General features: G+C 35.9%; 1 protein-coding gene across 16 annotated transcripts in view; it reads right to left on the bottom strand.

The window, feature by feature from the left end:
• Positions 1-16,270, bottom strand: part of SPATA1 (spermatogenesis associated 1) — a 60,994-nt gene that overhangs the window by 18,307 nt on the left and 26,417 nt on the right. For 3 of the 16 annotated variants that reach the window (NM_001397487.1, NM_001310156.2, XM_024446289.2), the window contains exons 7-11: positions 16,099-16,213; positions 15,307-15,364; positions 4,769-4,871; positions 3,314-3,439; positions 109-287 (exon numbers count right to left, since the gene is read on the bottom strand). In NM_001397487.1, the coding sequence (NP_001384416.1) occupies positions 109-287; positions 3,314-3,439; positions 4,769-4,871; positions 15,307-15,364; positions 16,099-16,213 (581 nt within the window). Of the gene's footprint in view, positions 1-108; positions 288-3,313; positions 3,440-4,687; positions 5,973-12,586; positions 13,724-15,272; positions 15,452-16,098; positions 16,214-16,270 lie in introns of those variants that run through there. The other 13 variants (XM_011542514.3, XM_011542517.2, XM_011542516.2 and 10 more) reach the window with 13 other exon arrangements.

Here is a 16,270-nt window from a genome sequence, read left to right as displayed (position 1 = left end):
AGTTTAAGTCAAAGTTAGCCTAATGCATCTTGTGATACTACTAGCACTTATAAAGCATGTGTTTTGAACAGAACTTCTCTAACGGAAGGGGGATACATTTAGTAATACCTTGGAGTCTGTGATGTTTGCCAGATTCTTTGGTCTCATCTTGATCTCCCTGGCTTCAAGTTGCATGAGCAGTTTTTTATAGTAGAGTTCCAAATCTTCTCGAAGTTTTGTTAAAACCTCCTCCATTGATGCTGTGACTTTCTTTGTTTCCAAGTATTTTTTCTTCCAACCATTGTAGGCTATAAAAAAAAAAAAAAAAAAAAAAAAAAAAAAAGGAAAGGCCTTCGTTTGAGTATTAAAGGATTCAACTTTTCATCCTGGAAAGGATCCTAGAGCTAATGTCAATTTAAACCATTTTCCTCTTTCTCTCCTCTTCTCCTTTTTTTATATACTGAGGTCATTAGACCTGAGGAAGAAATGTTTTTTGGATTATAAGAGAACTTGTATAGAAATATAGTAATATATATATATTTTATAGTAATATACATTACTATAAAAGTAATATATCTAAAAGTAATACATTGAATAGTAATATATATTATAAAAGCAATATATATACTTGTTATATATAGTAATCTATAACATATATAAAACTATAACATATATACATATAACATATATAACTATAAAAGTAATATATGTATGTTACTTTTTCCCATGATTATGGAAAACTGATCCAAAATTAATCATTAGAAATTAAACACTACCAGTTTAACAAATTGCATTGATACCAATGAGATTCTAAATACAAACTTAATAGGAACACAAACTATATGCCAGTATACCAGAATTTGTTTAGTTTCTTTCTTTTAGATTATCATAGAAACAAAAATCTCAAATTTAAAAATTCTACTTTATAAGGTGATTTAATTAAAATTATATAGCTACATGGAACTTTAGCTCAAGATTTTGGATATTTATCTCATGCTCTATTATCCAATCCCTTAGCAACTTCTACCGGTATTACTGCCAAAATACTTCTAGCATCTAGCATATTCCACCTTCTTCAATGCTACATCCTTAGTCAATGTCATCTTTTACCAAGAAGTCTGCATTCTCTTTCTAACTGGTCTGTCTGCTTTCATTCTTGCCCCTGTACAGGGTATTCTATACAGCAGTCATTCTGATCTTTCTAAAATATTTTTTAAAATCATATAAATCCCTAGCTCAAAATCCTCTAGTGGCTTCCTACCTTGCTTAGAATAAAATCCAAAATCTTTGATTTGGCCCATTTATTCCTTGCTGACCTTTCTGATTTTATCCCCCTCTGCATTCCTTCTTACGTAGTGTTTCAGCAGCACTGGTCGTATTTCAGGCCCTTAATGCCACAATGTCATTCTTATTTCTTGACCTTGATATTTAGTGTTCCCTTTGTGCCTGCCTCCCTATTAATCAAATCTTAATCTTCTCAGAGATACTTTCTCTGAAAATTCTACCTAAAGCATCTCTTCCCTGCCTCATCACTCTTTACTATGCTCTTTTTAATTGAATTCTCAGCTCTGATCAAAGCTGATATTGTCTTACTTGTTTATTGTCTGTCTCTTCCCATAGGGAAGCAAGCTCCTTATGGGCATGGCCATGTCTGTCTTGTTCACTGCTGTATCCCCAGCATTTAAAACAGTGCCCGGCACATAGTAGGCTCAATAAATATTTTATGGCCAATACATACCTTTTATCTTGAAATATTCCTGTTGAAATAGGAAGTGATGGATCATTCCCATTTCATAAACAGAAAGGGTGAGGCACAAAGAGGGGAAGTAACTTGTCTAAGTAAAAGATAGATCTGGTGTTACAATCCTGGTCCTGTGATTTTCAGTCCATTGTTCAAATCTGTCTGATAAAATTGCTTTTTTAACATTACAACAAGGCTGACTCATTGCCACCACTTTCAGGATAACACATTGTAAAGCAGAATCTTGAGAAGTATCTCCTGACATTGTCTATAACCTTCAATCAGTTCTAGTGCTGAAACAATTTTGCTGTAAATTGAGAATCATAAAACCACTTAATTCCATAGATACCTTTTATCCTTATAATCCTCAACACAACCCAAAACGGAGGCCTCTCAAATAATTTAGCAACTCTCAAGCCACCATCATGTACTGTCTTCATCCTGCCTCATCAGTCCACCAGTCCTAACAACACTGTTTCTAATTGTACTGCAAGAAAACTTACTTAACTTCCCTCATTCATTCACTTTTAAAAGCAAGGCACACACACACACATATCAAAAAATTAAGTACAGAAGAGACCAAGGGACTCAAAGTAGGCTTCTACAGTAAGTGATATATAAGGTGATCTTGACTGACTAATAGGAAATAGGCAGGTAAACTGGGAAGAGGGTACCTCAAGGTAAGAGGAGAAGTAGATGGCAGAGGGAAAAGCATGCCCGAAGACCTAGAACCAAGAGTGTACTTCAGATCCTAGCATATCCAACACTTTTCCTGGAAGCCTCTCTTGATCTCTTCCATCTAATTTAGGCGTTCTCCCTTTGTATTCCTATCCATAGAACTTTGTAATTCCTTTATCATAGTTTTCATCAAGTTTTTTTTTTTTTTTTTTTTTTTGAGGCAGAGTCTTGCTTTGTCACCCATGCTGGAGTGCAGTGGCACAATCTCAGCTCACTGCAACTTCCGCCTCTGGGTTCAAGCCATTCTCCTGCCTTAGCCTCTGCAGTCACTGGGGCTACAGGTGCCCACCACCACACCTGGCTAGGCTAATTTTTGTATTTTTAGTAGAGACGGAGTTTCGCCATGTTGGCCAGGCTGGTCTCGAACTCCTGACCTCAAATGATCCGCCTGCCTCGGCCTCCCAAAGTTCTGGGATTACAGGCATGAACCACTGCGCTGGCAAGGATGTATCATTGATGCTTAACTTGCTTATCATTTCCCCACTGGACTGTAAGATCTATGTGGGCAGGGACAAGATTGTGTCTGTCTTAATAGTGTCTCCTAAGCCCCTAGAATAGTGGCCAGATTCAATAGGCATTTGATAAATGAATAGAAGAATTAATAAACAAGTTAATGAGTTTCAGTTATGAAAATATTTGAGTTTTAATTTTAAACCCTATGTAAAGCATTTATTCTATAAAGTAGAGTTGCATAATAATTTCATGTTTTCTATATTGAACTTAATCATGTACCACTTAAACTAAAATAGTAAAACAGTAAATATTAATTATAACTTTATTATTTATTCTAAAAGGATCAATTCTGTAAAACTTAAGTTTTCTTTATAGTGATAAAAGGTATGTAATAAACTTTACCATGATATCGTTTTAATTTGCTTTGTTCAAATAGCTTTTCAACCGTTTTTACTAGTTCTTCTCTATTTCTTTCCAGATACCTTCTTTCTTCCTTTACTTGTTTCATTTGTTTGATAATCTTCTCTCCTAAAGAGATTATAACTCATATTCATCAATGTCTCAAAGCTGAAAGATGGCTCATATCCTAAAATATGGAGTGTAAAACTTAAAAATGTCTAAAGCAGCAAGAATAAATTTTATCCCAAACTGTTTTTCTTGCTACAGTATAGCATTTACCATGTGGAAAATGCAAAGGAGTCATTTCAGTTTCCAAGAGTGATATATAAGGAGATTTATAAAATAGTGTGTTTTTTCTGCATTTCATATATGTGTAGAAACTAGGTAAAGCTCAAGCAGTTATGCTGATATTCTTTGGTTTAACTCTTTTGGTAAATTTATCTGGGATTCAAAATTATTGTACTTAAATCGTACATAGAAAATGTATATTTTAGGATTATATATATATGATATATATATGATATATAAATATATATATATTTTTTTGAGATGGAGTCTCACTCTGTTGCTCAGGCTGGAGTGTAGTGGTGCAATACTGGCTCACTCCAACCTCTGTCTCCTGGGTTCAAGCGATTCTCCTGCCTCAGCCTTCTAAGTAGCTAGGACTATAGGCAGCTGCCACCACGCCTAATTTTTTTGTATTTTTTTGTATTTTTAGTAGAGATGGGGTTTCACCATGTTGGCCAGGCTGGTCTCGAACTCCTGACCTTGTGATCCACCCACCTCAGCCTCCCAAAGTGTGGGATTACAGGCATGAGCCACCATGCTTGGCCAGAATATATATTTTAAAATGAAATAATGTTGGTGACTAAACATATGTAGTAATAAATATAAAATCCCTGGGCCAGGTGCTGTGGCTCACACCTGTAATCCCAGCACTTTGGGAGGCCGAGATGGGTGGATCACTTGAGGCCAGGAGTTTGAGACCACCCTGGCCAACATGGTGAAATCCCGTCTCTACTAAAAATGCAAAAATTAGCCAGGTGTGGTGGTGCACGCCTGTAATCCCAGCTACTCGGGAGGCTGAGGCTGGAGAATCGCTTGAACCCGAGAGGCGGAGGTTGCAGTGAGCTGAGATCACGCCACTGCACTCTAGCCTGGACAACAGAGTCAGACTCTGTCTAAAAAAAATAAAATAAAAATAAAATTCCTATAATTTAACTTTTTTATTGTTGTAGAACATATTACATAACAAACTGTACCATTTAAAATATTTTTAAATGGTACAGTTCAGTGGCACAACATTCACACTGTTGTGAAACCATCACCACCACCCATCTCCAGAACTTATTTATCTTCTCAAACTGAAACTCTATACCCATTAAACAGTAACTCCCCATTAACATTATTTACTTTACCTCACAGAATCATCTGTACTTACGATTGCACTATACTTACTTTCAGTTTGTAATAAAGATATATCAGTTATTCCTGAAGAAAGAACAGGTTGACAAGGAAGTGAAGGGTGATCTGGTAGGGTGATGTACTCTTTTTCAGCTGTCTGTAAGCAAACGTGAAAATGAGTAAGATCGGCTACACTGTCACATTCTTTTTTCACTTGCCCGTAGGTATTTGATAATGCAAACCAGAAATGCATTCTTTTTACTTAGTGGTGATGAACTCCAAATTTTGTATTTATAGCTGCAGATTCTCTCCCATGTTCTGGTCTCTGTATTCTATTACTTGGACATTATAAACAAGTACTTCAAACTTAAAATTTAAAAAAAATCTGTTATTTTTCTTTCTAAACATGATTTCCTTCCAAGATTTCTGGTCTCAGTTACCTGTTATGATAACTTTAAATATTTTCTAAGATGCCTATTAATATTTTTTTCATCTTGAGTCAATTTTGATTATATTTGCTTAGAAAATTGGTAGTTCTGTCACATGTCAAAATTTTAGCAGATAATTTTACATTTTATTCTAATATATCTTATCTCCTCTGTGTTTGTGTTTCTGTTGCCTTCATCTTTCCTAATTTTTGTGTTTCTACCTGATATGATTTGGATCTGTGTCCCCATCCAAATATCATGTTGAATTGTAATCCCTAAGTGTTGGAAGTGGGGCCTGGTGGGAGGTGATTGTATCATGGGGGCAGATTTCCCCATTGATACTGTTCCCCTGATAGTGAGTTTGTTCTTGTGAGATCTGATCATTTAAAAAGTGTGTGGCATCTCCCCCACTCCTTCCTCCTGCTCCAGCCTTGCTCCCCCTTTGCCTTCCACCGTGATTGAAAGCTCCCTGAGGCCTCCCCAGAAGCAGATGATGCCATGCTTCCTGTACAGCCTGCAGAACCGTGAGCCAATTAAACCTCTTTTCTTTATAAATTACCCAGTCTCAGGTATTTTTTATAGCAGTGTGAGAACAGACTAATATCTACCCTTTTTGATGAATTACCTCAAGCCTTACCATGTTGATGTTTCTCCCACTATCACTTTATCGATCTTGAATTGTTTTCAATTATGCTTCGGTACCTCATTAGTTTTCACTTTTATCTTCATCAAGCTCTCACTTCTATTTTGTTTGTCTTACAGTTAGTCCCCGTTATCTGTAGCTTCACTTTCTGTGCTTTCAGTTACCCACGGTACAGTACAATAAGATACTTTTAGAGAGAGAGAGGCCACATTCACATAACTTTTATTATAGTATATTGTTATAATTGTTCTATTTTATTATTATTGTTTTTGTTATTGTTTACTGTGCCTACTTTATAAATTAAACTTTGTCATAGGTATATATGTACAGGAAAAAACACAGTATATATAGTATATATAGGGTTGAGTTCTATCTGTGTTTTCAGGCATCCACAGGGGGTCTTGGAACGACAGATAAAGGGCAGAGTACTGTATTATTTTTCTAGCTTATTTATTTTGTTATGTTATAAAGTTGAGTTCCCACAGGATAATGGCAGCCACCTAAATTAGAATTGCTCCACAAATCTTCCAAACTACCATAAAAAGAAGCCAAGTAAAACCACCCAAATTTATGCCTACAACATAATTTGGGCACAGAATCCTTTACATGTAAGTGAGGAAATAAAGACTACTAGATCAGAGTGTGGTCAGGAGCCCACATCTGAGCAGAGAGTCAGATATGGACTATGTGTCAGCACTGTACATAAATAATAGCAAACACCAATCACGAGTTAGCCTGGAAAGAGAGGGCTCTACCTGAAGTGGAAAAATAGAGCAAAGAAAAAAAACCTGGTAGATTCTATGAGGAATTCAAAAGAAAGGATTTGAAAAACACAGGGAGTCAGAGGCAGTAATCATGGTAAGACATAGCTTCTGGGAGAGAAGAAAATGCTTTGAAAGGGAGAGATGTCCTTGGGAGCCAGTTTGGTAAGAAAAAAGAAGAAAATGGCCAAGGCAAGAGCTCCACTGAACTAAGCTAGTGGAAAAGAATCCAAAGAAAACATACCCATTTCCCCAAAAGGCCCCATTTACTTAAAAAAAGAAACATAAATAACTGCATTTCTTGGGAGGCCAAGGCGGGTGGATCACCTGAGGTCAGGAGTTCAAGACCAGCCCGGCCAACATGGTGAAACCCCGTCTCTACTAAAAATACAAAACTTAGTCGGGTGTGGTGTCGCACGCCTGTAATCCCAGCTACTCGGGAGGCAGGAGAATTGCTTGAACCTGGGAGATGGAGGTTGCAGGGAGCTGAGATCGTGCCATTGCAGTCAGGCCTGGGCAAGAGAGCGAGACTCCATCTCAAGAAAAATGAAAATAAAACAACAACAACAAAAAAACAAACAAACAAAAAAAACTCAAAAACCTGCATTTCACTACAGCAGCAGAAGAGGGTGCTCCTGATTTAAGAAACACAGTAAGCCACCAAAACAACACTCCCTGTTCCTCTGTAAGAACACCTGTTATTACTGATAATGGAAAAATCCAACGCAAATAAACATGAACATCTATAAAATAATCTAGCACTCATGCAGTTACTTATGAAGAAAACCTCAAAACTGAGCAGTAAAATCAAAACAAACACGCCATGAAGCAGAGAAAAACTTACCAATGCTCCCAACATAGATTAAATATAATTAACTAAGCATTTGCAGATATTAATGAACACTATAAAACAGAAATTTTTAAAATTTGTAATAAAAATGGAAAATAGGAAGGTGTGAAATGAAAATTGGCCAAACTCAAGAAATAAAGAAAAAGAAATTCTCTCAGAAATGAATAAATTAGCAGGTGTTCCAAGATGGAACATATATGACCAAAAATATAGTAAGAAAAACATAGAATAGAAATAAAAGGAGCCAAGAAAGTGAAACATAATGAAAAGAGTAAAATGGATCAGAATGAAAGTGGCAGATATAAAGGTAAAGAAGATCTAAGATAAGACTAATTGTTGCCCCTGAAAGAAAAACAAAACAAAACAATGAAACAGATCTATTTAAAATTATAATTTTAGAAAACATCCTTGAAATAAAACAATTTCTGATTTCTGATTTTCATATTGAAAGGGCCCACTGTGTACCTAGAAAAATCTGACCTACAATTCTCAACTGAGATATAACCTGCTAAAACTATTACACATTAAAGGAATTCTCTGACCTTCCAGGCAAAAATACTCAAGTCAGTTTACAAAGAAAATCAAGTTGGCATCACACTTCTAAATAGTAACATATAAAGCAAGACATCAGTAGTGCAACGTTTACAAGAAACTCAAGGGAAATAAGCCAAGGATTTTATAGCCAGTCAAGCTATCCTTCAAGTAGTAAAGTATGAAGGCTCTAGAGCAGGAATTAGCACAGTTTTTCTGTAAAGGGCCAGAGAGTAAATAAATATGTCTGGGCCACATCTGGTTTCTGTCATATATTCCTCTTTTTTTCAACTCTTTAAAAACATAAAACACATTCCTAGCTCACAGGCCTTACTAAGCATGGTGCAGACCTTAGTCTGCCCATCCTTGCTCTACAGAGAGTTTTAAATGTGCAAGAACTAAGGGAATATTGTGCTCAGGATCTTTTCCTAGTATAGGCTGAGCTTCATCTAACCAAGAAATCATTGAAAAATCTTTTGCAAAATAATTGGCAGTTAAGTGTTGAACATATTTAATTATAACTCTGAGACTAAAACAAAAGTGAGGGTATAAGACTACGTGAACAGTACAAAAAATTTATATTGTTTGACAAAGTAGAAATAACACAACTGAAAATAAACGACAAGAAAAGGGAGGGAAAAAAGTGAAAGTAGAACAAGTTTTTTGATTGCCTCAAATATAACAAGGAGGAGTCAGAGCATAATTTTAGAGGTAGCAAATCAAAAGCAGAAGGACAAATTTTTAAAAAAGGAAAAAAGAGGGGCCGAAAATACTAGCTTAAGTGTATTACTATAAAGATAAATATTAGAACAAAAATAAAAATCTTTCTAAATACCAAGACGAAAAAAACCCAAATAAATAGTAGAAGACACACAGTAAATATAAAATAAAATGACAAATCTGAGACTAAACATATCAGTCATATCAATTATATAAATGGACATGACTCATCTAACTAAATAAAAAAGACTTTCAGACTAGCTTACAAAGCAAAACCCAGCTCTAGGCTGTACATAAGAGATACATCTAAAACAAAGTGACTCAGAAAGGCAGATAAAAAGGAGGGGAGTCGAGAATGGGAATATATCAAATAAATGCAAACAAAAAGAAAGCAGAGTATTTTGACATGCAGTAAGGAAGAATTCAGGCCAAAAAGGCATTAAATGAGCCGAAGAAAGACACTTCATAATGCAAAAGTAATAATATTCACATAAGAACAACTTTGTGCCAAATAACATATAGAAACACATAAAGCAGAAACCACAGGAGGTGTAAGCATAAATAGCAACACAGTAATAAAAGGAGATTCTAACATACCATTCTCAGTCCGAGACATAGAGAATGTGGAAAAAATTAAGAATATGGAATACTTGATGTATTCAGCAAGGTAAACCACAGACAAGCCACAAAGTAGAGGAAGATATTTGCAACACACATAAACATCAAAGGACTATCTTCCAGAGCATATTAAAAACTCCTACTAACCAGAAATAAATGGCAGACAACCCAATAGAAATACTTAAAACAGGTAACCCCCCCAAAAAATGGTTATCAAAATGGGGTCCATAAAATATAAGGGTAACCAGGGAAATTAAAAAATTCAAACTGCAGTTAAATAGCATTGAGCATCCACCAGAGTGGAAAACATTTTAAAGTGTGAAGACAGTATGTATTATTGAGGATGTAGAGTAACAGGAAATGTCTTGGATTCCTAGCGGGAGCGTAAATTTGTATAATCATTTTGGAATACATTTTGGCATTATTTAAGTTATAGATAGACATTTTCCAGCAATTCTACACATAAGTATATATTCCTCTCTTGTTTGTGTGTGCTGTTTATAATAGGTAAAATTTGGAAACAATAAAAGTATCCAGCAACAATATAACAACAATTATTTGCTGAAGATGGTATGCCTTTGCTCCCAAACCCAAGGGCTTAGAGCCGTGATTCTCCTACCAGGGCTTGTACAGACTCCATTCAGCATTCCAATCTACTATACATCAAGCATCACTGGATAATCTGGACAGACATTAAAACACTAGTGAGCTGGGTGCAGTGGCTCATGCCTATAATCCCAACACTTTGGGAGGCTGAGGAGGGCCGATTGCTTGAGTCCAGGAGTTGGAGACCAGCCTGGGCAACATGGAGAAACCCCAACTCTACAAAAAAATACAAAAATTACCTGGGTGTGGTGGCATGTGTCTGTAGTCTCAGCTACTCAGGAGGCTAAGGTGGGAGGATGGATTGAGTCTGGGAGGTCAAGGCTGCAGTGAGCTGTGAACACTGCACTGCATTCCAGCCTGGGCAACAGAATGAGACCCTGTCTCAAAGCAAAACCAAAACCAAAACCAATAACCCCACAAGTGGCAGCATTGCTTGCAATCCCTCTGGGATCACCTTACAAGCCTTCTCTTGTTTAAGTCCCACTCAAAGTTGGCAGGCTTCTGATTCAGTTGGTTTAAATAAAAAATAGAGCAGCACATCCTAATGCAGTAAATCTCTCTACAAATTCCAAAAAAGGTCCACAAAGTGCTTTGTTTCATTCTCAATAGTAGCTGGGGCAAGGGGATACCTCAACATGTCGCAGACCATGGAGCTCCCTGAAATTTCTCTGAATTGATAGACTCCTAAATTTTCTTGCAGCTTATCTCCTACCCCCTAAGAAACATATGTCTTACCTAAGGTATCTAGATTATTTGGTATTTCCTGTTTATCAGGTCCAAGGGGATCATGATATGGTCAAGTTGCCTATAAACTAGATTACGACAAGGAGCCAGAATTGACACAGCCCTTAGGCAAAACAGTGAAGGTCTACTGCTATTCCTATTTGCTACTTTTGGTTTTCTCTGCTAATTGGGATGAAGAAAAAAGCATTTTCCAGATTAAGAATGGCATAATAGGAGCATCAGGCTGTAATAATTTGTTCTAATAAAGAGAGGATGTAAGGAGTAGCAGCTACAATTGTCACCACTTGACACTAAGGCCCATTAATCTTCTCCACAGACCAACTAGGTGAGTTGAATGTGGCTATGACAGGAATAACCTTTTCTGCCATTTTCAAGTTTTGATCATGGCACAAAACCCACAATTTGTCCAGGAGGTTGGTAATGCTTTGGTTTACTATTTTGGTAATGAATAGGCCATTCCATCATATTTCACTTGGCCCTCTCTACTATAACATTCCTTATTGCCCATGCTGCAAGCATCAGGGAGGCAGTATGAGGATTCTGCCATTTGCTGAGTAAGTCCTTCAAAGTATACATTCATGAATTAAGGGAATGGCTACAGGGAGAATTTGCAAAGCCATTCAGCACACCAGAAGACTGATTTAGCTAAAACTTCACTTATTATCTGACCCCTCTAAACCTCCACCCTATTGGTGGAACACAGAGTTATTCAGGTCCCCAACGATCAGAATCACATCAAAGCCATTGCCATGAATCCTGAAAAGTATGGGTACCTCCCTTTCTCCATTGTAGTCATCTGGGTAAACAACCTCTCATCCCCTTAAGGAAGGTAAAGGAAATTTAGGAAGGTAAGGAAATTTAGTCCATATTTGTGGCTGAGTGACAGGGTTTTTCCTCAAGGATACCTGGCCTCCCCTTCACTCAATAAGTTCTGGGTATGTAAACTGGCTAAGGTCTCGTAATTTAATAAGGGGATGTGAATCTTCATGTGGTTATTCAAGGTAGACGTCTATTTGTGAAGACTAAAAATAATTTTTGGTTTTACAGACCAATAGCTTACTGGTAGCTTCAGTAAGCTATCCAAAGCTTATCCAATAGCTTATCCACTTCAGTCTCAGGAACATCATGATTAGTCTTAGGGACACCTTGGCAATTAACTATTGTCAAGGATTTCTTAATCATACATCCTTATGATCACTCTGGTACTGTTTTCTCTTATATAGTAAAATGCTGTAAATTGGCTTCTTCGGGGATACTGTCATCTCTAAAGAAATCAAGTAGGCCGGGCGTGGTGGCTCACGCCTGTAATTTCAGCACTTTGGGAGGCCGATGCAGGTGGATCACGAGGTCAGGAGTCCAAGACCAGCCTGGCCAAGATGGTGAAACTCTGTCTCTACTAAAACTACAAAAATTAGCTGGGCGCGGTGGCAGGTGCCTATAATCCCAGCTACTCGGAAGGCTGAGGCAGGAGAATCGCTTGAACCTGGGTGGCAGAGGTTGCAGTGAGCTGAGATGGTGTCACTGCACTCTAGCCTAGGCAACAGAGTGAGACTTCATCTCAAAAAAAAAAAAAAAAGAAAAAAGAAAAAACAAATCAAGTATAGTCCTATCTTCATTCCATGTGACACAAAACAGCCACTATAAGGTTTTTTAAAAGAATTCTGGGGTTGCCTTTCCAATATATTTCCCCAATGTCTGGTTAAAGAATTAAGTGGGCCGGGTGCGGTGGCTCATGCCTGTAATCCCAGCACTTTGGGAGGCCGAGGCGGGCGGATCACGAGGTCAGGAGATCAAGACCATCCTGGCTAACACGGTGAAACACCGTCTGTACTAAAAATACAAAAAAATTAGCCGGGCGTGGTGGCGGGCACCTGTAGTCCCAACTACTCGGGAGGCTGAGGCAGGAGAATGGCATGCACCCGGGGGGCGGAGCTTGCAGTGAGCGGACATAGCGCCACTGCACTCCAGCCTGGGCGACAGAGCGAGACTCCGTCTCAAAAGAAAAAAAAGTGGATATAAATCTCCTCTTAACATTTTTATATCCCCAAGTCTTCGGATTTCTTGCTCTACTTTTTAACAAGAAATTCTTGGCATTCTAAATTTACTCAGTATGAACCACCATATTGTCCAGGTTTCTGTCAGCCTCACTCAATTTAGCAAAATGTTTTTTACCACTCACAGTTGCTGGAGCTAGCACATTAAATCCAGAATCTCTGATAAGTGTATCCATATTATTAAACTTGAGCCAATTTAAAGTTATATTCTTTCATTCCTGCTCTGAATCTATTTCCAATAATATTTTTCTAAGTTTCTACTAGCATGAATTAACAAAATATTGCAGTTCTTTTGCAATAACCAGTCTGAGATTCTCATTTGTAAAAGTTTTTGGCCCATGTCACACTTTCTGTACCAAATACTGAATCAGTTCAGTGCAGGTTTAAGCAGGAAGAAATGTAATAAAGGAAATTAAGTGTATCAGAAAGACTGGAGGAGCAGGTTCTAGGTCTGGTCTCCTAAAATGATGTTTCCATTAGTGAAATTACCATTGTTGAGGCCATCACCAGAACTACGCTGAAAGCAAGAAGCCATCATTATTATTGCCATTACAACTTCTCACACTCAGGAAGCTGGAGGAAAAAACACTTAATTCATAACAAAAATAGAAAGAAAGAGTAAAACTATTGTTATTCACAGATGACATGAATATGTACGTAGAAAGTCCTAAAGAATCTACAAAAAAAAAACCTGATAGAACTAATTGAATTTAGCAAAATCTCAATAGATGAGTTCAATGTATAAAAATCAATTACATTTCTATAAACTAGCAACAATTAGAAAATAAAAATTTTAAAATACCATTCTATAGAAGCTTCAAAAATACCAAATATCTAAAAATAAATGTAATATTAAGATATAAGAGCAATACACTAAAACCACAGACACTGCTGAAAGAAACTAGTGACATAAATAGAGAAATATATTGTGTTCACAGATTAGAAGATTAAGTATAGTTAGGATATAAGTTTTCCTCCCAAATTGATTGACAGATTCACGGTGATTTCACTCAAAATTCCAGTAGTCTTTTGGTAAGAAATTGACAAGCTGATTCTAAAACGTATATGAAAACACAAAGAATCTAGAATCACCAAAATGATCTTGAAAAAAAATTGACTTGGAAATCTTACGCTATCTGATAACAATAACTACTTATAAAGCCTCAGTAATGAAGATAATGTGGTATTGGCGTAAGGATTAAAAAAAATCATTGAGCAGAAAGGGAAGCTAGAAGTTGTCCTAGATCTTATAGAGTCAACTGAGTTTTGAATAATGCAATAGGAAAAATAAAGTCTTAACAAATGGTGTAGGAGGTGGGTATCTGAGGATCTCAACTGAACCACAACCACAACCTCATTCTGTACATAAAATTTTGAGATTCGTGGTTCTCTTCAAATTACCTCTATTTAACAAAAATTATCACTGAGAATGCAAGAGAAAGGAGGTCTTGATTGTCTGAGGAGAAGGTATGACAGAGTTGTCTAGAAGAATAGTAATGGACCAAGAAAATGTAGTATATTTGTTGGCACAATTAAAGACTCATTTGAAGTTTGTGATTTATTAACTATGGTTGGAATTTTGTCCAATGGGTATGAAAGACATAACCGTGGAAGAATTAATGTAACTTTCTGTGTTTTCGTTTTCTCATCTGAAAATAGAGATAATAGTACCTCCACAAATAGTTGTTGAATTAAATGAATTAACATACATAAAGCATTTAGAATAGTGATTGGCTCAGTAAATGCTATCTAACTGGTTTTTGCTATGTTATTAGTAGTATTATTTAGGTAGGTAGTTATTAAAATGGTTAAGACTGAACTCTGAAGCCAGTCTACACTATTTAGGATCTAAGCCCAGCTCTAGTACTTACTAACTATATAATATCACCTGGGAAAGCCATGGAACCTCTCTGTGCCTCAGTTTCCTCATCTGTAAAAGGGGAATGATAACCATAACCTACCTCATGGAGTTTCCTTTATGGGGATTAAATGAGTCAGTATGTGTAAAATACTTAGAATAATGCCTGGTAGTTGATACTCATGGATAGCTATTATTTAAATTAGTATTGTTATCATTCTTAAGACTGTCCTAAATTCATCCTGCAAATATGTGCAAAATTCTCCTAGTCTTTCCATCATTTCTTGAGAATAAACTGGTAATGTGAATAGTGTTCATTAACTCGTTTAAACCAGTGCAATTCAAATTGGGTAACATATCCAAGGTCACACAGCTAGTAACTATAACATAAACAATTTACTACTATACTGCTTCTTAACACACTATATAATTCTGTTCTAAAGAGACAAGTTAATCAAGTACAGGTATTAGTATATTAAATTACAAATTAGCTATGAAAGCTGCTAGTTAAGTATAGTTTGATGTACCTTTAAAACTAGTAATAAAATTTGAGAAGATAATCCAAAAAGGTGTTGGTGGATAACTTTTCCCCCTTCTCATTTGGGCATATTGTTACCTTATTTATAAAAACAGAAAAATTGGACTACTATTGATTATATTGATATTAGAAGTATGTTTCTGGAAAACTTAGACATTTTAATCTGCAGTTTCAGTTTAATCTTAGTAAAAATATTATGATGTTGCAATACCATGTTTAAACAAAAAATTTTAAATAGTACCTGATTGTCCTGTCTTCTACTGATAGCTGTATCATCTTCATTTTCCCAAAGACACTGACTTAAAGGAAATGACAGGTTTGAAAGTCATTAAAACATGATCCCATGAATATTAGCTTTTCATATTTTATGTATTTTATTTGATGCTCTGTAAACACAAATATTGAAAATTTTCAAAGTCAGCCTGAGACCATTATCATATGTTCTTTCAGACTCATTAGTAATCCATGTAAAGCTACATTTAGTATGAGTAATAAAATCATATTTTATTATATTATAGCTAAATTCTAGTTCAATATCTATAGCAAGATAAAATTACTTGAAATTTTAGAAACATATTTGTTTATTGTTCTTTTGTGAATAACTGTTTATAAGAACCCTTAATTTCAAAAGACTGTGTAAAACTCGTCTAAGTACTATAATTTTGAATAAAATGATACCAGTGTGAAAATCAAGCATATTGATTAGTTTACCTATAACCAAGAACTTAAGAGAGGCAGGATAATTAGTTCTAATGAAGGGAAACAAAGACAGAAATTTTTCTGTCATCAAGTTGTCCCAATGATAAAAGTACTACAATAGAAATAAATTTAAGTTATGAATTATCCCTTATTATCTTGGAGAGGAATGTTAGCAAAAAACAGTAAAGATCTGAATCAAGGTAATTTTAATTAAAATATCACTAATTTCACTCATATCTTTAAGTAGAAGTCTTTATAACAATACTCTGAATATCTTACTCTTTTTCTTATTGTTTAGATTATGGCATGTGGAATCAGCATCTATACTAATTACCTTTTTTTAGTGCCAAAGCAATCATTATTTGAATCTTCCAATGATCCTGGCAACTCAGAATTTCCAATTTGATTTTTTGCAATTTGGCTTTTTTCTGCAGTGGCTTTTCCCCCAGCTGATGTTGATGGTCATCCACAGCAAATAAAGTTCAGAATGTTAGGAAAATAGTAAA

The sequence above is a fragment of the Homo sapiens genome, chromosome 1, assembly GCF_000001405.40.
Source record: "Homo sapiens chromosome 1, GRCh38.p14 Primary Assembly".
Lineage (NCBI taxonomy): Eukaryota > Metazoa > Chordata > Mammalia > Primates > Hominidae > Homo > Homo sapiens.
The sequence above is the reverse complement of the archived record's forward strand: the minus strand, read 5'-3'. Positions and strand labels throughout refer to the sequence as shown.